General features: G+C 44.4%; 1 protein-coding gene across 3 annotated transcripts in view, besides 3 other annotated features; it reads left to right on the top strand.

Annotated features, from left to right (window-relative positions):
- Nucleotides 17,883-18,422: an enhancer, noted in NCBI's record as "OCT4-NANOG-H3K27ac hESC enhancer chr1:65605473-65606012 (GRCh37/hg19 assembly coordinates)". NCBI's record gives its function as "activates a minimal SCP1, AML or CMV promoter by ChIP-STARR-seq in naive and primed H9 embryonic stem cells {active_cell/tissue: H9 hESC(naive and primed)}" and the evidence as "EXISTENCE:reporter gene assay evidence [ECO:0000049][PMID:30033119]".
- Nucleotides 25,463-25,702: a silencer, noted in NCBI's record as "silent region_964". NCBI's record gives its function as "represses an Ori minimal core promoter by ATAC-STARR-seq in GM12878 lymphoblastoid cells {active_cell/tissue: GM12878}" and the evidence as "EXISTENCE:reporter gene assay evidence [ECO:0000049][PMID:35858748]".
- AK4 (adenylate kinase 4) overlaps nucleotides 25,645-26,255 on the top strand; it is an 84,594-nt gene continuing 83,983 nt past the window's right edge. For 2 of the 3 annotated variants that reach the window (NM_203464.3, XM_017000613.2), the window contains exon 1: nucleotides 25,645-25,758. The gene's annotated coding sequence lies outside the window, so the exon portion shown is untranslated. Of the gene's footprint in view, nucleotides 25,759-25,945; nucleotides 26,151-26,255 lie in introns of those variants that run through there. The other variant, NM_001005353.3, reaches the window with a different exon arrangement.
- Nucleotides 25,713-26,212: a silencer, noted in NCBI's record as "silent region_965". NCBI's record gives its function as "represses an Ori minimal core promoter by ATAC-STARR-seq in GM12878 lymphoblastoid cells {active_cell/tissue: GM12878}" and the evidence as "EXISTENCE:reporter gene assay evidence [ECO:0000049][PMID:35858748]".

Consider the following 26,255-nt stretch of genomic DNA (forward strand, 5'->3'; position numbering starts at 1 on the left):
CGACTCACTGCAGTCTCCACCTTCAGGGTTCAGGCGATTCTTCTGCCTCAGCCTCCCAAGTAGCTGGGACTACAGGCACATACCACCACGCCCAGCTAATTTTTGTATTTTTAGTAGAGATGGGGTTTCACCATGTTGGCCAGGATGGTCTCCATCTCTTGACCTTGTGATCCGCCATACCTCGGCCTCCCAAAGTGCTGGGATTACCCGCGTGAGCCACTGTTCCCCGGCCAACTATGTGATTCTTTTATTTATTTATTTATTTAATTATTATTATACTTTAAGTTCCAGGGTACATGTGCACAACGTGCAGGTTCGTTACATATGTATACATGTGCCATGTTGGTTTGCTGTACCCATTAACTCGTCATTTACATTAGGTATTTCTCCTAATGCTATCCCTCCCCCAATCCCCCACCCCACAACAGGCCCTGGTGTGTGATGTTCCCTGCCCTGTGTCCAAGTGTTCTCATTGTTCAGTTCCCACCTATGAGTGAGAACATGCAGTGTTTGGTTTTCTGTCCTTGCGATAGTTTGCTCAGAATGATGGTTTCCAGCTTCATCCATGTCCCTGCAAAGGACATGAACTCATCCTTTTTTATGGCTGCATAGTATTCCATGGTGTATATGTGCCACATTTTCTTAATCCAGTCTATCATTGATGGACATTTGGGTTGGTTCCAAGTCTTTGCTATTGTGAATAGTGCCACAACAAACATATGTGTGCATGTGTCTTTACAGTAGCATGATTTATAATCCTCTGGGTATATACCCAGTAATGGGATCGCTGGGTTGAATGGTATTTCTAGTTCTAGATCCTTGAGGAATCACCACATTGTCTTCCACAATGGTTGAACTAGTTTACACTCCCACCAACAGTGTAAAAGTGTTCCCATTTCTCCACATCCTCTCCAGCACCTGTTGTTTCCTTTTTAATGATCGCCATTCTAACTGGTATGAGATGGTATCTCATTGTGGTTTTGATTTGCATTTCTCTGATGACCAATGATGAAGAGCATTTTTTCATGTGTCTGTTGGCTGCATAAATGTCTTCTTTTGAGAAGTATCTGTTCATATCCTTTGCCACTTTTTGATGGGGTTGTTTGATTTTTTCTTGTAAATTTGTTTAAGTTCTTTGTAGATTCTGGGTATTAGCCCTTTGTCAGATGGGTAGATTGCAAAAATTTTCTCCCATTCTGTAGGTTGCCTGTCCACTCTGATGGTGGTTTCTTTTGCTGTGCAGAAGCTCTTTAGTTTAATTAGATCCCATTTGTCAATTTTGGCTTTTGTTGCCATTGTTTTTGGTGTTTTAGTCATGAAGTCTTTGCCCATGCCTATGTCCTGAATGGTATTGCCTAGGTTTTCTTCTAGGGTTTTTATGGTTTTCGGTCTAACATTTAAGTCTTTAATCCATCTTGAATTAATTTTTGTATAAGGTGTAAGGAAGGGACCCAGTTTCAGCTTTCTGCATATAGCTAGCCAGTTTTCCCAGCACCATTTATTAAATAGGGAATCCTTTCCCCATTTCTTGTTTTTGTCAGGTTTGTCAAAAATCAGATGGTTGTAGATGTGTGGTGTTATTTCTGAGGCCTCTGTTCTGTTCCATTGATCTATATCTCTGTTTTGGTACCAGTACCATGCTGTTTTTGTTACTGTAGCCTTGTAGTATAGTTTGAAGTCAGGTAGCGTGATGTCTCCAGCTTTGTTCTTTTTGCTTAGGATTGTCTTGGCAATGCGGGCTCTTTTTTGGTTCCATATGAACTTTAAAGTAGTTTTTTCCAATTCTGTGAAGAAAGTCATTGGTAGCTTAATGGGGATGGCATTGAATCTATAAATTAGTTTGGGCAGTATGGCCATTTTCATGATATTGATTCTTCCTATCCATGAGTATGGAATGTTCTTCCATTTGTTTGTGTCCTCTTTTATTTCATTGAGTAGTGATTTGTAGTTCTCCTTGAAGAGGTCCTTCACATCCCTTGTAAGTTTTATTCCTAGGTATTTTATTCTCTTTGAAGCAATTGTGAATGGGAGTTCACTCATTATTTGGCTCTCTGTCTGTTATTGGTGTATAAGAATGCTTGTGATTTTTGCACATTGATTTTGTGCAAATCACACAAAATCCTGAGACTTTGCTGAAGTTGCTTATCAACTTAAGGAGATTTTGGGCTGAGATGATGGGGTTTTCTAAATATACAATCATGTCATCTTCAAACAGGGACAATTTGACTTCTTCTTTTCCTAACTGAACATCCTTTATTTCTTTCTCCTGCCTGATTGCCCTGGCCAGAACTTCCAACACTATGTTGAATAGGAGTGGTGAGAGAGGGCATCCCTGTCTTGTGCCAGTTTTCAAAGGGAATGCTTCCAGTTTTTGTCCATTCAGTATGATATTGGCTGTGGGTTTGTCATAAATAGCTCTTATTATTTTGAGATACATTCCATGAATACCTAGTTTATTGAGAGTTTTTAGCATGAATGGCTGTTGAATTTTGTCTAGGGCCTTTTCTGCATCTATTGAGACAATCATGTGGTTTTTGTCTTTGGTTCTGTTTATGTGATGGATTACGTTTATTGATTTGCATATGTTGAACCAGCCTTGCATCCCAGGGATGAAGCTGACTTGATTTTGGTGGATAAGCTTTTTGATGTACTGTTGGATTCAGTTTGCCAGTATTTTATGGAGGATTTTTGCATCGATGTTCATCAGGGATATTGGTCTAAAATTCTCTTTTTTGGTTGTGTCTCTGCCAGGCTTTGGTATCAGGATGCTGCTGGCCTCATAAAATGAGTTAGGGAGGATTCCCTCTTTTTCTATTGATTGGAATAGTTTCCGAAGGAATGGTACCAGCTCCTCTTTGTACCTCTGGTAGAATTCGGCTGTGAATCCATCTGGTCCTAGACTTTTTTTGGTTGGTAAGCTATTAATTATTGCCTCAATTTCAGAGCCTGTTATTGGTCTATTCAGCAATTCAACTTCTTCCTGGTTTAGTCTTGGGAGGGTGTATGTGTCCAGGAATTTATCCATTTCTTCTAGATTTTCTAGTTTATTTGTGTAGAGGTGTTTATAGTATTCTCTGATGGTAGTTTGTATATCTGTGGGATCAGTGGTGATATCCCCTTTATCATTTTTTATTGTGTCTATCTGATTCTTCTCTCTTTTCTTCTTTATTAATCTTGCTAGTGGTCTATCAATTTTGTTGATCTTTTCAAAAAGCCAGCTCCTGGATTCATGGATTTTTTTGAAGGGTTTTTTGTGTCTCTATCTCCTTCAGTTCTGCTCTGATCTTAGTTATTTCTTGCCTCCTGCTAGCTTTTAAATTTGTTTGCTCTTGCTTCTCTAGGGTGATGTTAGGGTGTGTCAATTTGAAATCTTTCTTGCTTTCTCTTTTGGGCATTTAGTGGTATAAATTTCCCTCTACACACTGCTTTAAATGTGTCCCAGAGACTCTGGTATGTTGTGTCTTTGCTCTCATTGGTTTCAAAGAACATCTTTATTTCTGCCTTCATTTCATTATTTATCCAGCAGTCATTCAGGAGCAGGTTGTTCAGTTTCCATGTAGTTGTTCTGTTTTGAGTGAGTTTCTTAATCCCGAGTTCTAGTTTGATTGCACTGTGGTCTGAGAGACAGTTTGTTATAATTTCTGTTCTTTTACATTTGCTGAGGAGCATGCTTTCCTTCCAACTATGTGGTCAATTTTGGAATAAATGCAATGTGGTGCTGAGAATAATGTGTATTCTGTTGATTTGGGGTGGAGAGTCCTGTGGATGTCTATTAGGTCCACTTCGTGTAGAGCTGAGTTCAAAAATTAACAGGTGTGGTGGCGCATGCCTGTAATCCCAGCTACTCAGGAGGCTGAGGCAGGAGAATTGCTTGAACCCAGGAGGCAGAGGTTGCGGTAAGCTGAGATTGTGTGACTGCACTTCAGCCCGGGTGACAGAACGAGACTCTGTTTAAAAAAAAAAAAAAAAAATTAATGCAATCTATCGTCAATTAGATGTACATTGCTGAGGTCTTTTATCTGTTGTAGATTTTTCCCCCTTTTTATTGCATCAGGCATATTACCCTGTAAATTGTGGTAGTGATAGCAGGAATAAAAAATTAAGTAATTTTATTGGGAGCAGAGGACTGCCCAAGTTGACTGAGGAGGGGTAGACTGGCCCAGGTTGGAAACAGAGCAGGTCAAAATTCTCATGCTGATCAGTAGTGGAGTCACACCTGTGAGTAGCCACTGCACTTTGTCCTGGGCAGCAAGCGAGACCCTGTCTCTAAAAAGAGCAAGGAATTTAAAACTTTAAAGAAAAAAAAAAACTCGGCCAGGCGCGGTGGCTCACGCCTGTAATCCCAGCAATTTGGGAGGCCGAGGCGGGTGGAACACGAGGTCAGGAGATCGAGACCATCCTGGCTAACACGGTGAAACCCCGTCTCTACTAAAAATACAAAAAAAAAAAAAAAATTAGCCGGGTGCGGTGGCAGGTGCCTGTAGTCCCAGCTACTCGGGAGGCTGAGGCAGGAGGATGGCGTGAACCTGGGAGCCAGAGCTTGCAGTGAGTGGAGATCGCGCGAGTGCACTCCAACCTGAGTGACAGATCGAGACTCTGTCTCAAAAAAACAAACAAACAAAAAAAAATTGATGCAATGGTTTTAAAAGGTCAATATTTATAATACTCTGGAAACTACAGCCTTTGTAATTACTTAAAATAATGATTAAAATGCAAGATATCAACATAAAAAGGTGCAAGGAGGTGTATATTATACAACATTATTTTAAGGGTATGTGAATAAAAACACATGAAGACCACAGTCATAGAGAAAAGAACATAGGCTTTGGAGTTTGGAGGCTTAGAGGCTGTTTCCTAGCTGTGTGTCCTAAGGCAAGTTACTCTGCCTCTTCAGTTTCAGCCTCTGTGCTATTATTAAAATGGATTTAATAGTAGGAATTGTTAGTGGTCTATCAATTTTGCCAATTAAGCCAAATAATACACATAAAAGAGGCTGAAATATGGTAGATAATAAATATTTCTTCCTTCCTCCTTATAATGCAGTAAGAAGGTATTGATTCATCCACCCAACAGTAATTTTTAGCACCCATGTGTCAGTCACTGTTCTAGGAGCTAGGGATCCAAGGTGAATGAAGCAAGCAGGGTCCCTGGAAGATGGATAAGAGTGGGCACATGGGGCTGGGCGAGGTGGCTCACGCCTGTAATCCCAGCACTTTGGGAGGCTGAGTCGGGTGGATCACGAGGTCAGGAGTTCAAGACCAGCCTGGCCAAGATGGTGAAACCCCATCTCTACTAAAAATATAAAAATTAGCCGGGCATGGTGGTGGGCGCCTGAAATCCCAGCTGCTCGGGAGGCTGAGGCAGAGAATTGCCTGAACCTGGGAGGCGGAGGTTGCAGTGAACCAAGATAGTGCCACTGCACTCCAGCCTGGGCGACAGAGTGAGACTCTGTCTCAAAAAAAAAAAAAAAAAAAGAGTGGGCACATGGAACCAGATTGCCTGGCTGGAATCCCCTCTTTACTAGCTGTATAATCATTGACAACTCACTCAACATGTCTCAGTGTTGTGGTCTGTATGACAGGGATAATAATAGCACCTTGAAGAGTTTGTGTGTTGAGTTGTTAAGGAGTCAGCACCGTGTCTGGCACATGGTATGCACCCGGCACATGTGAACTATTCATGTTATTCTTCATGATGCTTACATCTGAGGTGGGGAGAAGGGCGTGAGAATATTTGTCTGCATCTTACCTGAGGTTTAGAGAGGTTAAGTAAACTGCATCTAAACTGAGGTTTAGAGAGGTTAAGTAAACTGCCTCTCAAGTCAAATAAATAGGAAGGGTGGAGGTGACACTTTGTCCTCTGTCCCAACGGACTTCAAGGCCTGCACTATTTCTGCCATGCTGAGCAGGCTATTTCATGACAGTTCTTCTCTCTCTTTTTTTTTTTTTCAAATTGAGATGGGGTCTCGCTCTGTCGCCCAGGCTGGAGTGCAGTGGCACGATCTCAGCTAACTGCAATCTCTGCTGCCTGGGTTCAAACAATTCTTGTGACTCAGCCTCCCAAGTAACCGGGATTACAGGCGCCCACCACCACACCCAGCTAAATTTTTTTGTATTTTTAGTAGAGACGGGGTTTTGCCATATTGGCCAGGCTGTTCTTGAACTCCTGACCTCAGGTGAACTGCCTGCCTCAGCCTCCCAAAGTGCTGGGATTACATGTGTAAGCCACCACACCCGGCCAACAGTTATTCTGTAGGACATTTCCCGTTGCAACATTCTATTGGTAGGAGAAGGAGTTTTTTTATAAAAAGGTTTTCGGCCAGGCGCGGTGGCTCACGCTTGTAATCCCAGCACTTTGGGAGGCCGAGGCGGGCAGATCACAAGGTCAGGAGATCGAGACCATCCTGGCTAATACGGTGAAACCCTGTCTCTACTAAAAATACAAAAAAATTAGCCGGGCACGGTAGCCGGCGCCTGTAGTCCCAGCTACTCGGGAGGCTGAGGCAGGAGAATGGCGTGAACCCGGGAGGCGGAGCTTGCAGTGAGCCCAGATAGCGCCACTGCAGTCTGGCCTGGGTGAAAGAGCAAGACTCATCTCAAAAAAAAAAAGTTTTCAATGGAGGACTTACAAAAATCCAGAAACACAATTTATAAGCCCCCAGAGCTCTTCATGATCTCAGATCTGTACACTGAAAAGTCTAGTTTCTTTCCTTTTGGGTAAAACAGAGCATCTGTCAGACTGTCACAAGTCATCTGGAAGAATTCAGAATTTCAGAATTAGACCCAGGAAACATGTAATGCATGGAGGTGGTGATTGCCTTACATTCAATATAATATAAACTGGTCTTTGCTTTAAGTTTTGAGGCTATGCCATGCTCCAGACACTTTCCTAAGTGATGAGGTTATCAGGTCAAATACAACAGTCTCTGCCTTTTTACAGTTAGTGCGGAGTTCCACACAGGAGACAAACCTCAGCATAATCCTAGACAGTGACAAGATGAGAAACCAGCAGGAGGAATCCTGAGAAGGAAGTCATTAACTTAGCTGTAAGCCAGGTGGGACCTCCGAGGAGTGACCTGTAAGCTGGACCATGAGGGATGAGCAGGCCCTCTTTAGCCTGATGTATTAGTCCGTTCTCATGCTGCTAATAAAGACATACCAGAGACTGGGTAATTTATAAAGGAAAGAGGTTTAATTGACTCATAGTTCAGCATGGCTAGGGAGGCCTCAGGAAACTTACAATCATGGCAGAAGGAGAAGCAAACACCTCCTTCTTCATATGGTGGCAGCAAGGAGAATTGCAGAGCGAAGTCAGGAGGAAAGCCCCTTATAAAACCATCAGATCTTGTGAGAACACATTCACTATCACAAGAACAGCAGCATGGGGGCAGCTACCCCCATGATTCAATTACCTCCCACTGGGTCCCTTCCGTGACACTTGGGGATTATGGGAACTCCAATCAAGATGAGATCTGAGGCTGGGCGTGGTGGCTCACACCTGTAATCCTAACACTTTGGGAGGCCAAGGCGGGTGGATCACCTGAGGTCAGGAGTTCAAAACCAGCCTGGCCAACATTGTGAAATCTCATCTTTACTAAAAATACAAAAATTAGCTGGGTATGATGGCAGGTGCCTGTAATCCCAGCTACTCGGGAGGCTGAGGCAAGAGAATTGCTTAATCCCGGGGGATGGAGGTTGCAGAGAGCCAAGATCACGCCACTTCACTCCATCCTGGGCGAAGGAGCAAAACTCTGTCCAGAAAGGATGATATTTGGGTAGGAACACAACCAAACCATATCACCAGAGAAGAGGAAGAAGAGGATCCTGGGCCTGAACAAATATCTGAAGGTCTAAGAAGGAAAGAGAGGCAGGAGGGGCTGAGATACTCTGGGCGGGAGGGAACACTGTGGTGAGGCAAGAGGGTGAAGCTCCATGAAGGCAGGGATCCTTACTCACCCGGATGCCTAAAATGGTGCCCGGGTTGTTGCTGTTGGCTAATTGAATGCTAAAATCCTACCTCTTCCCCCAGAGATTCTGTCTCAGTTGGTCTGGGATAGGGCTGTGGCAATGGTATATTTTAAAAGCTCTCCGGGTTATTCTGATGTACTTCCAGGTTTGGTACCACTGGACTAAATGAATGACCTGAACCCGTGGAGATGAGAAAAAAAAATGTTTTTTTGAGACAGGGTTTTGCTCTGTCACCCAGGCTGAGTGCAGTGGTACAATCTCAGCTCACTGCAACCTTGGTCTCAGGTCTCAAGTGATTCTCCTGTCTTAGCCTCCTGAATAGCTGAGATAACAGGCATGTGCCACCACACTTGGCTAATTTTTGTATTTTTTTTTTTTTGATGGGGTTTCACCATGTTGCCCAGGATGGTCTCAAACTCCTGGGCTCAAGCAATCTGCCTGACTTAGCCTCCCAAAGTGTTGTGATTATAGGTGACAGCCACCGTGCCCGGCCAAGAAATTTTCTTTATAGTTTTCTGTGGGTCAGAAGCCCTTCTCCTTGAAAAGACCTCAGATGATGGTATGTGGTATTTTCCTATTTTATGGAGCTTTGGGGTGGGAATGTAAACTGCCAAGGATTTGTTTGCTCTTGCCTTTAATCCCAGCATTTTGGGAGGCCAAGGCAGGAGGCTCGCCTGAGGCAAGCAGTTTGAGACCAGCCTGGGCAACATGAAGAGACCTCCATCTCTACCAAAAAAAAATTAGCCAGGTATAATGGTGCATGCCTGTGGTCCCAGCTACTTGGGAGGCTGAGGTGGGAGGATCTGCTTGAACCTGGGAGGATGAGGCTGCAGTAAACGATGATCATGCTACTGCCCTCCAGCCTGGGCAACAGAGCAAGACCCTGTCTCGAAAAAAAAAATCTGGCAAGTATAGTTAAAATATTAATGGTAGAATCTAGCTAATGGGTATACAGTTGAGTATATAAATATTTTTCAACTGATATATTTTTAAATTTTTTCTTTTTCTTTTTGTTTTTGAAACAGGGTCACACTCTGTAGCCCAGGCTGGAGTGCAATGGTACCGTTGAACTCCTGGGCTCAAGCCCTCCTCCTACTTCAGCCTCCCAAGTAGCTGGGACTACAGGAGCCTGCCACCACTCTTGGCTAATTTTTTAAATTTTTTATAGAAATGGGGTCTTGCTATATTGCCCAGGCTGGTCTTGAAATCCTGCCCTCAAGCAATCCTCCCACCTCTGCCTCCCAAAGCATTGGGATTATAGGTATCAACTATCACGCCTGGCAGAAATTTTTCTTAATAAAATGGGGGAAAAAATTAGCTTGAGCCAAGGATAAAACACACTAACTGAGTCTAAATGAGAAATTGATAGAAACCTGAGTGTCATTTAGACCAGCATTCTACAAGGAGGCAGACAGAAGGACGAGAGCCTTTCCAGGTAGAAAGGCCAGTGGTGCTGGGAGCTGTGTATTGGTCTGCTTAGCTAGAGCAGAAATGGGGGACTTTGCTGACAGAGGCCAAGATACTGATTCAGCTGGGTTCAAGTGACCTTGGATAATTGGACTGATGTCTCTGCACCTTAGTTTCTTCATCTCTTAAATAGGAGTCACATTAACAGTCATTGTAAGTACCAAACTCAAAGAGCTGTTGTGAGGATCAAATGATATATCAAATAGTTTTCGAAGACAGATGGAGGGATTTTCCAAGAGATATGATGACACAGATGATTTGAAGGGAGTCAGTTTCTGGATTTCCATTTCCATATGTAATTCTGCTAGAAAGAATTAATCTGAGAAAATGCTGAGTGTTGAGGTGTTATGCCAGTTGTCCTTTTCAGCTCACCTTTCCTAATCACTCATACCCCGTTTGGTAAAATAAAAAGGCATACTTGTCCCTATCTTGTTATGGTACCTTACATTAGGTGTAAAAACTTCCAGGCTGGGCGCAGTGGCTCACACCTGTAATCCCAGCACTTTGGGAGGCCAAGGAGGGTGGATCACCTGAGGTCGGGAGTTTGAGACCAGCCTGACCAACATGAAGAAACCCCGTCTCTACTAAAAATACAAAATTAGCCAGGCATGGTGGTGCACGCTTGTAATCCCAGCTACTCAGGAGGCTGAGGCAGGAGAAACGCTTGAACCTGGGAGGCAGAGGTTGCAGTGAGCCAAGATCGCGGCATTGCACTCCAGCCTGGGCAACAAGAGTCAAACTCCATCTCAAAAAAACAAACAAACACAAAAAAACTTCCAGGGTTCCAAAGAGATTATTCAAGATACTAGAGGAGGTGAAAGCTCTTTGAATGTGGGCAACATGCACTCAAAGCAGGGCTGGCATTTTTTTTCTGATTTAACACATGCCCTGTGAAGGAAGAAGTATGGCCTCTGGAATGGACTATTTTGGCCCCTGTTGGAATGTTCTAAATTCAGTTACACTGTAGAGTGGACTAGGGATAGGATGACAATTTTTCTTTAACAAACTCAGCCTTTCTATCCCCTGACTGTTGTCGAAGAACTATCACTTCTGATAGGGGGCTTTTTGACAGCCAAAAAAAAAAAAAAAGGTGTCAGGGGTGGGAAAGATAGATAAAAAATATTGAAGAGAATAACAATTTCATTTAGGAGCAAATTCTTAGCAGGGCTGTCTCTCTCTCTCCTATCTCTCTCTCTCTCTCTGAATTCAGAAATGAAATGTTTGTCATGGGGATGTGTCTTTTTTTTTTTTTGACACAGAGTCTCGCTCTGTTGCCCAGGCTGGAGTGCCATGGTGCAATCTCAGCTCACTGCAACCTCCACCTCCTGGGTTCAAGCGATTTCCAGCTAATTTTTGTATTTTTAGTAGAGACAAGGCTTCACCATGTTGGCCAGTTCGTCTCGAACTCCTGATCTCACATGATCCGCCTGCCTCAGCCTCCCAAAGTACTAGAATTACAGGTGTGAGTCACTGTGCTCCTCAGTGGAGATGTGTCTTTATTTTATTTTATTTTATTTTATTTTTGAGACGGAGTCTCGCTCTGTCGCCCAGCCTGGAGTGCAGTGGTGCGATCTTGGCTCACTGCAAGCTCCACCTCCCGGGTTCACGCCATTCTCCTCTTTAGCCTCCCCAGTAGCTGGGACTACAGGTGCCCACGACCACGCCCGGCTAATTTTTTGTATTTTTTTAGTAGAGATGGGGTTTCACTGTGTTAGCCAGGATGGTCTCGATCTGCTGACCTGGTGATCCGCCCACCTTGGCCTCCCAAAGGGAGATGTGTCTTAATCTGTTTATTTGAATAGAAAAATGTAGTCACATTTTTACTGACCAAAAAAAAGTTTTACTTGGCCCCTTGGTTTGACAGTGAAGGCTGACTTTGCTAGTTAGGTAATAGGTGGACATTTTTCATAAATCAAATGAGCTAAAAATATAGCACTGAGATTTTGAATAAAATATATTTAAATCACATGATGAGAGAGAAATGCTTCATCAAAATTTTTATTACACAAGGTATTTTGAAATTAATATTTTCGGCCAGGCGCGGTGGCTCATGCCTGTAATCCCAGCACTTTGGGAGGCCGAGGCAGGCGGATCATCTGAGGTCGGGAGTTCAAGACCAGCCTGACCAACATGGAGAAACCCCGTCTCTACTAAAAATACAAAAAATTAGCCAGGCATGGTGGCACATGCCTGTAATCCCAGTTACTCAGGAAGGCTGAGGCAGGAGAATCGCTTGAATCCGGAAGGCGGAGGTTGCAGTGAGGCGAGATTGCGCCACTGCACTCCAGCCTGGGCAACATGAGCGAAACTTGGTCTCAAAAAAAAAAAAAAAAAGAAAGAAAGAAATTAATATTTTCATTTTCTAACCCTTTCTGAATATATCAGGTTAATCAAAATGTTTCTAGGTAGAAAAATAATAGGTGTAATTTAATAATCATTTGATAATTCTGGAGAGAGTCTTTTTGGCAAATGTTTCAGAAACTGAGAAAGTGAATGACTCTCATGACTGGACAGCAAACCCTTTTCTAAGTCAGATGTTTTTGGGAAGAATCAAGTTTTAGCCAATAGATCACTAAACAATGCATTTATTTATTTATTTAGAGATGGAGTTTCAATCTTGTTGCTCAGGCTGGAGTACAATGGTGCAATCTCAGCTCACCACAACCTCTGCCTCTCTGGTTCAAGCAATTCTCCTGCCTCAGCCTCCCGAATAGCTGGGACTACAGGCGTGCACCACCATGCCTGGCTAATTTTGTATTTTTAGTAGAGAGAGGGTTTCTCCATGTTGGTCAGGCTGGTCTCGAACTCCCAGCCTCATGTGATTCGCACTCTTCAGCCTCCCAAAGTGCTGGGATTACGGGCGTGAACCACTGCAGCTGGCCTAAACAATGCATTTTAATGATAGATCACTCTGCGATTTTTGGAATACAATTTGGAAGGACTTCAAAGAGTTTAATGACATTACTGTAAGAAATCTTCTATTCGCATCCTCTGCCTTACATGAATGAGATTTCTCAACACTTTTATCTATGAAAATGGGACAGAGTGGAATTAATGTTGAATACTATCTCAGTTGAGCAATCATATTCACACGTAATATGCATATGAACTAATTTCTTAAAATTATAATTTATCTTAGAGGCATTTATTATAATTTTTATTTAATGATTTTGATCAAAATTAGTAATGCATTGGTCATTTTGATCATTAGTGTACTACTAATAATTATAATGATAACAATTCTGAAGACTTGAGTTCTTAAAAAAGAAGAACTTAGGATCACAGGAGACTAGCAAAATTAATTTCCATCTATATGCATATTTTTCTTGCTGAGTACAATAGGGTGATGAAGAAAAGTCTTCTAAGAATAAAAATATGTCAGATCACAGTAAAATGGAGGGAAAGTGGAGTGGAAATTTTGGTTCAAGGTGAAAAAGAATTCATGTAAAAATTTGGCTTTCATATAAGAGCTTGTTCATGTAATTTCCTTTTTTTCTTTTCAGAGAAAGTCTCACTGTCTACCAGGCTGAAGAGCAGTGGCAGTGGCACGATCATAGGTCACTGCAGCATTGAACTCCTGGGATCAAGCCATCCTCCCACCTTGGCCTCCCAGGTAGCTGGGACTACAGGCACATGCCACTATGCCTGGCTGATTTTTTAATATTTTTTTTTTTGTACAGATAGAGCCTTGCTATGTTGCCCTGGCTGGTCTCAAACTCCTGGCCTCAAGCAATCCTCCTGCCTTGGTCTCCCAAAGTGCTGGGATTCCAGGCATAAGCCACCATGCCTGGCTTCGTAATTTTCAAGAGGATGCTAATGGCTATCAGTTTGCTATGGTATTTAGATTTCATTACACACATTAAAGGAGTGATGTGGCTGGGCACAGTGGTTTAGACCTGTAATCCCAATACTTTGGGAGGCCAAGGCAGGAGTTCAAGACTAGCCTGGGCAACAGAGTGAGACCTCCTTTCTACAAAAAGTAAGGAAAATTAGCCAGGCGTGGTGGCATGTGCCTGTAGTCTCAGTGATTCAGGAGGCCTAGGTGGGAGAATGGCTTGAGCCTGGGAGGTTGAGGCTTCAGTGAGCTGAAACTGTGTCACTGCACTCCAGCCTGGGGGACAGAGTGAGATCCTGTCTCTCAAATAAAAACAAATAAATAAATTTTTTGTAAAAGGAGTGATATAAGTTTCATTTTAAAATGTCAGTATTTGGCCGGGCGCAGTGGCTCACGCTTGTAATCCCAGCACTTTGGGAGGCCGAGACGGGTGGATCACGAGGTCAGGAGATGGAGACCATCCCGGCTAACACGGTGAAACCCCGTCTCTACTAAAAATACAAAAAATTAGCCGGGCGTGGTGGCGGGCGCCTGTAGTCCCAGCTACTCGGGAGGCTGAGGCAGGAGAATGGCGTGAACCCGGGAGGCGGAGCTTGCAGTGACCTGAGATCGCGCCACTGCACTCCAGCCTGGGCGACAGAGCGAGACTCCCTCTCAAAAAAAAAAAAAAGTCAGTATTTATAGGATGGCTGGAAATTTCACCCCTTCCAACATTTCACATTTGTGACGTACAATTTTAACAGTCAATGTCAAAATTTGTGTGCGTTACATGTTTCAAAATAATTTTGGGAAGTACTAGGATGCAAAAGTTCAAAGGCTCCTGATACAGTATATGTGAAAAAAATCATCCCCTCACCTATTTCTCTCCTTCTTGTGTATTCCAGCTCAGTGTGAGGGGCCATTTTCCCTTAAAAGCCAGAATCTTGAGCACCATCCATGCTTCTCTCTATTCCTCTGCATCTAACCAATTTATGCTATATCTAGGCAAAGCTTGTGTTCATCTCTTCTTTTCCATTTCCCCTGCCACTGTCTTATTTGAAGATCCTATGATCTTTCTCCTAGAATATTGTTAACATCTTCTTAATTAGTTTGTCTGACATCAGATTCAACTCCTTCTACTGAGGTATCTATAAGGAAAAGAAATTTATCTTTCTTCTTTTGTTTTTGCTTTTTTTTCTTGGAGATGGCATCTTGCTACATTGTCAAGGGTGGTCTCAAATTCATGGCCTCAAGCTATCCTCATGCCCCAACCTCCCAAGTAGCTGGGAATATGGGAGTGCACCAGTGGGCCAGCTCCGGATTTATCTTTCTAAAATATCAAGTCAGTCATATCACTCTTGTACTTGTATAACTCAATGATTCTCCATTCCTTTAAAATAAAATCTAAATGGTTAGGATGGGCTGGGCATGGTGATGCCTGTAATCCCAGCACTTTGAGAGGCCAAGGCAGTTGAACCACTTGAGGTCAGGAATTTGAGACCATCCCGGGCAACATGGTGAAACCCCGTTTCTATCAAAAAATACAAAAATTAGCCAGGTGTGGTGGTGCACACCTGTAATCCCAGCTACTCAGGAGGCCAAGGCATGAGAATCACTTGAACACTGGAGTTGGAGGTTACAGTGAGTCAAGACTGCATCACTGCACTCCAGCCTGGGCTACAGAGCAAGACTCCATCTCAAAAAAAAAAAAAAAAAAAAAAAAAAAATTGGGCATGGTGGTGTGTGCCTGCAGTTCCAGCTACTCCAGAGGGTGGGGGCCGGGGGTGGTCACTAGATCCCAGGAGTTTGAGGCTGCAGTGAGCCCTGATCGCATCACTGCACTCCAGCTTGGGCAACAGAATGAGAACTCCATCTCTTACAAATAAAACAAAACGATGCAATTCAATAATTACCAGTTTTGCTGGAAAGGCTTCTTGTGTCCTCAGACAGACTTGAGTGCTTTCCCCCTTTCTTTTTCTTTTGCTCTTATTTATTTATTTATCTGAGACAAAGTCTCACTCTGTCGTCCAGGCTGGAGTACAACGGCGTGATCTCAGCTCGCAGCAACTTCCGCCTCCTAGGTTCAAGCGATTCTCCTGCCTCAGTGTCAGGCCTCTGAGCCCAAGCTAAGCCTGTGACCTGCGTGTATACATCCAGATGGCCTGAAGCAACTGAAGATCCACAAAAGAAGTGAAAATAGCCTTAACTGATGACATTCCATCATCGTGATTTGTTTCTGACCCACCCTAACTGATCAATGTACTTTGTAATCTTCCCCACCCTTAAGAAGGTTCTTTATAATTCTCCCCACCCTTGAGAATGTACTTTGTGAGATCCACTCCCTGCCCGCAAAACATTGCTCCAAACTCCACCGCCTATCCCAAAACCTGTAAGAACTAATGATAATCCACCACACTTCGCTGACTCTCTTTTCAGACTCAGCCCGCCCGCACCCAGGTGAAATAAACAGCCATGTGCTCACACAAGCCCTATTTGGTGGTCTCTTCACACGGGCACGTGAGACACTCAGTTTTCCGAGTAGCTGGGATTACAGGTTCCCCCCAGTCACGCCCGGCTAATTTTTGTATTTTTAGTAGAGACGAGGGTTTCACCATGTTGGCCAGGCTGGTCTTGAACTCCTGACCTCGTGATCTGCCCACCTTAGCCTCCCAAAGTGCTGGGATTACAGGTGTGAGCCACCATGCCCGGCCTTGTTCTTTATTTTACGTATTTATTCAGAGCCTATCACATGCCTGTCACTCAGCGAGCACAGCAGAGCTGTTGGTTCCTTACCCATATCCCTTCAGCCCTCTCATCAGATCTGCAGAAAATTCTTGTGCGTAGGAATGACTTTCTGGGTCTTTCTGCTTAAGGGATGCCTCAGGAGCGAACTTCTACCAATGCAAAACAAGTTGGGGGACAGATATCCCAGAACACTTCTGAAGTGTGTTCTACACAGCCATTCAGAGGGTCTCTGTGAGGTTGAGTTCCATTCGCACATAGAGGTAACTCACTAATTCAGTATACTGTCTTGGCCTTTCTCCCTTTCCTGTTTGACTTTTTCTGTCCTTTACTGTGCTATCTAGGACCACCTCTCAAAGAAGTGAATAGACCCAATTCATTTTCTCAGGAACGGGGGCAATCCCAAGCCAAGACAACTAGACTCTGGGGATAAAATTGTTACCAGTGGAGGTTGTCCAGGTTCTTGGCATCTTGAACAAAGAATTGGACATCACGCCCAAGAAAAGCAAGGAAAGAATGAAGCAACAAAAGCAGAAATTTATTGAAAATGAAAGTATGCTCCACAGGGTAGGAGCGGGCCCAAGCATAGGGGCTCAAGAGCCCCAATACAGAATTTTTTTTGGTTTAAATACCCTCTAGAGGTTTCCATTGATTACTTGGTGTACGCCCTATGTAAATGAAGAGGATGATGTAAAATTACAAAGTCATTTACTTGATGTACACCCTATGTAAGTGGAAGGGATATTACCTGTCACAGCTGAAGTGTTTCCATTTGATTTAGTTCTAGGAAGTCCTTAGGTTCCCTGCCTCCAGGCCCTATTCTCCTGCCTCAAAATGATGAGTGTTCATACTTTACCACATTGCATGGAAATATTAATAGTAATGTAAGCTGCACAAGGACAGAGATATTTGTTTTATTCATTGATGTGTTGCCAACATCTAGAACAGTGCTTGAAATATAGTGTTGAATGAATAGTAGCAATAGCTAATATTTATTGAGTGCTTATGATGTGTTTGATGTGATTTTTCAGAGATAATTTAATCCTCAAAAACCTTATGAAAATAGATATTGGTATTATTAGTGGTAATTATTCCCCTTTGGGGATATAGGAGAATTAAGGTTAAACAATAGGTCTAAATCACCCAGCTTGTAAGTGATCGTTGGAGCTCAGAAATTAATACCCCAAAATATGGGGCTTTGACTTGCTGAATTGAAGAAGTCTCAAGATCTCTCTGACCTCCCACCTCCACCGTCTCTCCCAAAGCACAGGATGAAGTTGAAGTTCCTTTATCTGCCTAAGATCTAGACCTACCAAGAACAATTGTTTTTAATTATCCTCCTTTTAAGACCAAAAATGTAACCACAGCTGAATAGACCCTTTCACGAAGTAACGTGTTCGCCTCTCTGTCTCATTCAAATTCCAAAGAGAATGATTTACAAGTTAATCTCTGTTCACATTCACTTATCTATTCATTTTTCCTCTTCTCCCCTCCAAAAATCTATTTTTCCACCATAACCTGTTTTGCTAAGATGATATATAACTTTCTGAACCCTACTGGGAGGGTATGTAATCACTGTGTGATCCTCCCCGTGTACACGTTAATAAAATATGTATGCCTTTTCTCCAATTAATTTGTCTTTTGCAAATTGATTTTTCAGGGAATCTTAGGAGAGCAAAGAAGTATTTCCCTTGGCCCCTAGAATAACATTTAAAAATAATCTCTAAATATTTAGAGATTAAAAATAATCTCTAAATAATAATCTCTAAATAATCTCATAATTAAGCGGGGTGCAGTGGCTCACACCTGTAATCCCAACACTTTGGGAGGCCAAGGTGGGTGGATCACCTGAGGTCAGGAATTCGGGACCAGCCTGACCAATATGGTGAAACCCCGTCTGCAGGGAAAAGGAAGAGAGATCAGATTGTTACTGTGTCTGTGTAGAAAGAAGTAGACATAGGAGACTCCATTTTGTTCTGTACTAAGAAAAATTCTTCTGCCTTGAGATGCTGTTAATCTATAACCTTACCCCCAACCCCGTGCTCTCTGAAACATGTGCTGTGTCAACTCAGGGTTAAATGGATTAAGGGCTGTGTGGGATGTGCTTTGTTAAACAGATGCTTGAAGGCAGCATGCTCGTTAAGAGTCATCACCATTCCCTAATCTCAAGTACCCAGGGACACAAACACTGCAGAAGGCCGCAGGGACCTCTGCCTAGGAAAGCCAGGTATTGTCCAAGGTTTCTCCCCATGTGATAGTCTGAAATATGGCCTCATGGGAAGGGAAGGACCTGACCATCCCCCAGCCCGACACCTCTAAAGGGTCTGTGCTGAGGAGGATTAGTATAAGAGGAAGGCATGCCTCTTTGCAGTTGAGACAAGAGGAAGGCATCTGTCTCCTGCCCGTCCCTGGGCAATGGAATGTCTCGGTATAAAACCCGATTGTATGTTCCATCTACTGAGATAGGGGAAAACCACCTTAGGGCTGGAGGTGGGACATGCGGGCAACAACACTGCTCTGTAAGGCATTGAGATGTTTATGTGTATGCATATCTAAAGCACAGCACTTAATTCTTTACCTTGTCTATGATGCAGAGACCCTTGTTCACGTTTATCTGCTGACCTTCTCTCCACTATTATCCTATGACCCTGCCACATCCCCCTCTCCGAGAAACACCCAAGAATGATCAATAAATACTAAGGGAACTCAGAGGCTGGCGGGATCCTCCGTATGCTGAACGCTGGTACCCTGGGCCCCCTTATTTCTTTCTCTATACTTTGTCTCTGTGTCTTTTTCTTTTCCAAAGTCTCTCGTTCCACCTAACAAGAAACACCCACAGGTGTGGAGGGGCAACCCACCCCTTCACCCATCTCTACTAAAAATACAAAAATTAGGCCCGGCACGGTGACTCACGCCTGTAATCCCTGCACTTTGGGAGGCAGAGGCAGGTGGATCATTTGAGGTCAGGAATTCGAGACCAGTCTGGCCAACATGGTGAAACCCCATCTCTAAAAAAGATACAAAAAATTAGCCAGGCGTGATGGCAGCCGCCTGTAATCCCAGCTACTTGGGAGGCTGAGACAGGAGAATTGCTTGAATCCAGGAGGCGGAGGTTGCAGTGAGCTGAGATCGCACCACTGTACTCCAGATGGGGCGACAGAGCAAGGCTGTGTCTCAAATATAAGTAAATAAATAAAATAAAAAATAAAAATACAAAAATTGGCCAGGTGTGGTGGCAGGCGCCTGTATTCCCAGCTACTTGGGAGACTGAGACAGGAGAATTGCTTCAACCTGGGAGGCAGAGGTTGCAGTGAGTCGAGATCGCGCCACTGCATTCCAGCCTGGGCAACAGAGTAAGACTCCATCTCAAAAAAAAATTTTTTTTCCTTTAAAATTATTATATCTCTATTTATCTACCTATATCTTAGAGATTCCCCGGCACATAGTAATTACTCAATACACACTAATTATCATCTTCTGCTCTTAACAGAAGCCCAAACTTAGAAGTCTCTCCTAAGTGGGATCCCCTTTCCTTACCCAGCCTTGAGGAGCTACGCTTGGACAGAATAAACTTAGTATTCAGTTTCAGCCCCTTCATCCAGCTGGAGCAGGAAGAAAGCTGTACTTCCTCTGGCAGTTAACTTTGCACAGAGGAAAGACACGCCCAAACACATCTGATCTCCAGGCATGCCTACAAATCCCAAGGCAGCTTCTAGAAGGAATTCTCCTATTGATTGTGGTTGGGAACGTGGAGTGAAGAATGTGAATGACACAGTCCTGTCCATCCCCACTACCAGACGTACAAATTGGAGCAAAGTTTTGAGCAAGACATCATCATTATATCATTATGTTTGAGGGAAGAACATAAGAGATTGTTAAACTGCTTTCTAGTGTTTCAAGGTGAAAAGACCAAGGGTGGGAGTTCCACATCTTCCTGAGAGCCTGCCTCTATCATATGCTGTTATTCTAGGAATGATCTGTAGTCTGTTGCTCATGGAGAATAGTGGGCCATACCAGGTAAACTTAGAAGAATGTTGATTTCTTTCCTTCTAGTTTTCTTTTGTTAACAGCTTGGGAGCTTTTTTCTTTTCTTTTTATCTGAGAGGGCAGGGCTGTAAAATAAGTGCTGCTGCCTTTTCAAACCCTGTTAAGATGTTACAGGTTAATAACCATGTGGGCTGGTAAAATTGGGGCTAAGATGATTCTTTCACTTGTAAGAATGTATGAGGTCACACATAATACCATGTTAGTCCTTTATACACCATTTATTCTTCTTTCAGCAAAATCTTTTGGCTTTTTGAGTATTTATTGAGTGCCTACAGAGAGAAAGGAACAGCACATGCTGGGACAGGTATCTTATTACTCCTTCCCATTATTTTCTTTTCTGAATCTTTGCACATATAAGCCACTAGCCTTTCTGTTGTCTTTCCAGAGATGCTTCACAGAAGACAAAGAGAGACATAACTCTATCCACTCATTCATGCAGCAGTCCGTCTTTTAACAATGTTTGCTTAATATTCACCATGTGCTGCATTTTTACTAAGCTGCGTGGAAACCATGGTAAAAAAGATGAAGCCACTATGTTAAAGGAGCATACAGTCTTCATCAAATACAACAGAAATAAACATGAAATTGTGATACATGACAATGATGGAGAGATGTGGTAGCTGGAACAATGGGGGTTTGAATTTAGAGGTGAGGTCAGTGTCGTGCCTGTGAACTGTGGTTCGGGTGATATTTTTAATCATAGCATTACAAAAATCTGGTGAGTCATATTAAATTAAGTTTCAAAGGTATACTTCGAGGTACATTAGATTATGTGCAATGTATTACCGATAGTGGAGGAGATAGTTTGATGTGGTACTAGAAATTATTCAAAGTGGTACGTGGTCTGAGGCCCAGCATGGTGGCTCACACCTCTAATCACAGCCCTTTGGGAGTCCCAGGCGGGTGGAGTAGCTTGCACTCAGGAGTTCCAGGCCAGCCTGGGCAACATGGCAAGACCCCCGTCTCTACTAAAAATACAAAAAATAAAAAATAAAAAAAAATTGCTGGGTGTGGTGGCACACGCCTGTAGTCCCAGGTACTCGAGAGGCTGAGGTGGGAGGATTGCCTGAGCCTGGGAGGCAGATGCTGCAGTGAGCCAAAATCACCCCACTGCACTCCAGCCTGAGTGACAGAGCAAGACTCCATATATAAAAAAAATTAAACTGAATATTAGAAAGTACTCCCTGTCTTATTTTCAGCCATGTGATTTCAGTTAAGCAGAGTCTCATGTAGATGCTGTATGTCTTAAACACCTTTTAACACTTGGTAAACAAACTCTCCGACCCTCATCCCACCCTGCTTGGCTCTGTTTTTTTTGTTTTTTGTTTTTTGTTTTTGTTTTTTTTTTATTTAGACAAAGATTAAGCTCAGAAAATCAACAGGTGGTAGATTCCAGCTGGTATTTGGTATCTTATTTGATTTTTCTTGTATTTATTTCAGTGTATCCTTTTACTTATGGTTAGTGAGTTATTATTATATAAAATTTCTTTTTCAAATTTATTTATTTATTTATTTATTTATTTATTTATTTATTTATTTTTGAGACAGAGTCTCACTTTGCCACCCAGGCTAGAGTGCAGTGGCGCGATCTTGGCTCACTGCAACCTCCGCCTCTTGGGTTCAAGGGATTCTCCTGCCTCAGCCTCCTGAGTAGCTGGGATTACAGGCTTGCGCCACAACGCCCAGCTAATTTTTGTATTTTTAATAGAGATGGGGTTTCACCATGTTGGCCAAGCTGGTTTTAAACTCCGGACCTCCATCCGCCTTGGCCTCTCAAAGCGCTGAGATTACAGGAATGAGCCACTGCACTCAGCCTCAGATCAATTATTTAAACAAACTCAGTCAATATAAAAAAAATTAAAAAAACATGATAAGCAAATAACAGCCAAGGTGGTACAATGTTATGGCAAAACTGTAAAAATAGTGTGGAAATAATTGAAGTTTAGAGGAACAAGAGCACTGTGCTCAGAATGAGGAAATCTGATTTGAGGTCCGGCTCCCTTTGTACTATCGTCCCAGGCAGGCAATGCTGCATGGTACTGAGTGTGTTATGAGGGATAGAGACTTGCCAACATTAACAGATTATTACAAAGGGTATATGTTTGAGTACAGAAACCTCAGACTTTATAGTGTTAGAGGGGAGACAAAAACATAAATAGTTGTGTAATAACTCAAAGACTGTGATAAGTATTACAAATGGGTTAAAAACCCTAGACAAAGGAAATAGGAAGAAGTTAATTACCTGAGTGTATGTATATGATAAGAATGGCTATCATTAGGCTGGGCACGGTGGCTCACACCTGTAATCCCAGCACTTTGGGAGGCCGAGGCGGGCGGATCACAAGGTCAGGAGATCGAGACCATCCTGGCTAACACGGTGAAACCCCGTCTCTACTAAAAAAATACAAAAGATTAGCCAGGCGTGGTGGCAGGTGCCTGTAGTCCCAGCTACTCAAGAGGCTGAGGCAGGAGAATGGCGTGAACCCAGGAGGCGGAGCTTGCAGTGAGCTGAGATCGTGCCACTGTATTCCAGCCTGGGCGACAGAGCAAGACTCCATCTCAAAAAAAAAAAAAAAAAAAAAGTGCCAGGGAACTGACTAGGTGCTTTGTTGTATTATCTCATTTATTTCTCACCATTCAGGAACTGGGTTTAGAGAGGCTAAATAATTGACCCATGATTAATACTGGTGATGATGATGTTTACGACTGAATACTTATTGTATGCCCAGCCCTGTACTGAGTCCTTTATATACATGATCTCCATTTAAGCTTCACCACAAGACTCTGAGGTATTATTTTCCTTTTACAGATAAACTAAGGCTCACAGAGATCATGAAATTTGCAGTTAGTGAATGGTGCTGTTGCAATTTGATCTCAGGTGTGTTGGACTCCAAAGTCTGTTTCTTCATCTTCTGCTTCACTTCCAAGTCAGCAGCAGCTGAGCTGAGGGACCATGAGATGGCCATGCACTGGGATGGTCCATTGAGGGCTCTTTTGTGAAATGCGAGGTTCCAATCTTGGTTTCTCTAATGTGTGTCACAACTCTTTGTTTAATAATTTATACTCCTAAAAGCATAAAGTCCTAGAATCATGTGGGTGGCTAGCACTGTTCCATGACACTATAAGGTAATGTTGGTAAAGACATTTCAAAAGTAGACAAAAGAACTAGGTGGTAGGGTAAGGTAGGGCTATAGGATAGCTAGTCTGTGCGGGCTAAAAGCCATATTTCCTGTGGAAAGTTACAGTCAATTCTTAATAGATATGAAGGAATCTTCAGGATGTACTAAATCCAACCTCCTCATTTTACAAAGTAGAGGTTAAGGGCCAAAGGTCATACATTGGCAGAGGAATCAGGACACCACACATCTTGTGTCTCAATGCTCTGTTCACTATGGCAGTGGTTTTCAAGGTGTGGTCTCCAGATCAGCAACCTCAGCATCACCTGGGAACTTGATGGAAATGCCCACCTTCAATCCACTGAATCAGATTCTGTGTGTCAGGCCTCTAGCCCAAGCTAAGCCATCATATCCCCTGTGACCTGCACGTATACATCCAGATGGCCTGAAGCAACTGAAGATCCACAAAAGTGAAAATAGCCTTAACTGATGACATTCCACCACTGTGATTTGTTTCTGCCCCACCCTAACTGATCAATGTACTTTGTAATTCTCCTTACCCTTGAGAATGTACTTTGTGAGATCCACCCGCTGCCCGCAAAACACTGCTCCTAACTCCACCGCCTATCCGAAAATCTATAAGAACTAATGATAATCCCACCACCCTTTCCTGACTCTCTTTTCGGACTCAGCCCGCCGGCACCCAGGTAAAATAAACAGCCTTATTGCTCACACAAAGCCTGTTTGGTGGTCTCTTCACATGGACGTGCGTGGCACTATGCAGGGGGAGCTCAGCAACACGTTTCAACATGCCTTCCAGGTGATTCTGATGCATGCTCACTTCTGAGAGCCACTCCAAAGAAGTATCTGCTACATATTATACACATATACCCCCACCCCCAGACCCGCAAGTTCTTCCTCTTTGTTCCCAGAAAAGGTTTGAAGGGGCTCAGTATCAGGTCTACAGCACACTGAGATTTATTTATTTATTTATTTATTTATCATTTATTTGAGACAGAGTCTCGCCCTGTTTCCGAGGCTGGAGTGCAGTGGCGTGATCTCAGCTCACTGCAACCTCCACCTCCCAGGTTCAAGTGATTCTCTTGCCTCAGCCTCTGGAGTAGTTGGGATTACAGGCGTGCACCACCACACCTGGCTAATCATTCTATTTTTAGTAGAGACGGAGTTTCACCATGTTAGACAGGCTGGTCTCATACTCCTGGCCTCAAGTGATCCGTCTGCCTTGGCCTCCCAAAGTGCTGGGATTACGGGTGTGAGCCACAGCGCCCGGCCACACTGAGACATTTTAGAGGGAGATCAGTCTATGGAACAAATGCTGGCCTGGGGCTGGTGGCCTGGGTGTGCTGTCTGGCCAATTTTGTGCGTGGAGTAAGCAGTGGGGAGAGGCGCTGGGTGTCAGGAAACTATGCCAGGCCCTGCCCTCCACCAACCCCAATCAAAGAGCTGAGAGGGGGTTCTTCTCCACACCATCCCACTACTTGTGTCCCTCACCTTCTCTGAGTCCTGGGTATTGGTGCTGGGAACTCTGCAACAGATTTCCTGAAGGCAGGTGGCCTGTGGAAGGAAGGCAGAGGAGGGGGCCTGCAGAATGCAAAGGTGTACGGAAGGCATCTCTGCGCCCCTGCTGAAGATTTTTCACTTTATCCTGAAGGGAAGACAATATCTGAGGCCGGGAAATAATAAATATTGATTTTCACTTTATCAGTATTCCTGGCAGCTGCACGGAAAATGGAATGGCACAGAAACTGGAGTCTTATGGGCACTTATCCCACTAGTTGGGGTGGGAAATTAAAGGCTGTGTGTAAGGTGGGCACAGATCTAACAGAATGTGGATTGGGATATGCAGGGGAGGGTGGAGTGGGGGAAGACAGACTCCATTTGGACTTGGTGAGTTATAGGTGCAGCACCAGCATAATGCGCATGGAAGTCCTGGAATCATTTACCAAGAAGGTCCTGAACACAGGTGAGGGACATCCCCTTCTTCCCTGTTCCCTAAGGCGCCTAGACTTTGGAGTCAGTCAGTCTTGGGTTCCAGCCTCCCGCTAGGACGCAATTTCTTGAGAGCAGGATTCGATCTGTTGTTCACGGCTAGATCCTAAGCGCCTAGAATAGTTTCTGGCACACAGTAGGCACTCAATAAACATTTGCAGAATGAATCAATGAATGAATGGTCACGCTCCATTCCTCGGCTGTAAACACAATGAAATCACCTAGCCGCAAACTTGGCGCACAGTAGGCGCTCAACAAGTTGTATTTTTCCCTTCCCTTGCAGTAGACCGCGGTCCCCAGGCGACCGCGAAAGAAAAAAAGGGGTTTCTCTACCTCGCGTGGTCTGCACCTCGCTTCGCCCCCGCAGCCCTCGCTGGGTCGCAGGGAGCACGTGGGCCAGGCAGGCTGGGTGGGAGTGGAGTGGAGTGGAGGGGAGGGGGCGGCGGCCAGCGGCTCGCGCGGAGCCGGTCTCCCGGGCTTACGTAAGGCGCGAGTCCCGCGCGGCCGGCCGGGGCTCCGCGACTGGGCGGGCGGAGGCGGCGCCGCCCTGCAGGATCCGGGCTGGAAGCCTCTCGGAGTGCTGCCTCCAGCCAAGGTGTGTGTTTATTTGATTGCTTTTGGTGGCGAGGCGCGGGGCTCGGGCTCGTCGCGCGCCCCATGGCCGGGGAGCGCATCCGCCAACCCCGGGCGGAGGTGGGCCCCTCCGAGCGCGCGCGGGCGGCGGGCAGCGGCGGCAGCTGAGACTCCGGGGGATGTGACAGCCGCCGGGGAGGGGACGAGACGCAGACCACACGTTGCCCACGTGCGAGGACCGGGCAGGGGCTCAGCCCCTAGGCCGCCCGGTGCGTGGGGCGGCGGGGGCTGGCTTTGAGTCACCCCCGCTTGTGCCAGCTTCCCCGGCTCGGCGGAGACTGGCTTGGGGATGCCTGGCCGCCCGGCCCCCTTCTCGGACGCGGCGTGGGGAGCGAGCTGGAGTTAAGGATGAAGGTGGGACTGGCCGGGCCGACCTCTGACCCCTGGAGGCCGAGTCGGCAGGGCGGGGCACGGCGCGCTTCAGCAGCTTTGCGTGGGGGCGAGGAGGTGGAGGAGGGC

This window comes from Homo sapiens, chromosome 1 (genome assembly GCF_000001405.40).
Source record: "Homo sapiens chromosome 1, GRCh38.p14 Primary Assembly".
In the NCBI taxonomy this organism is placed as follows: domain Eukaryota; kingdom Metazoa; phylum Chordata; class Mammalia; order Primates; family Hominidae; genus Homo; species Homo sapiens.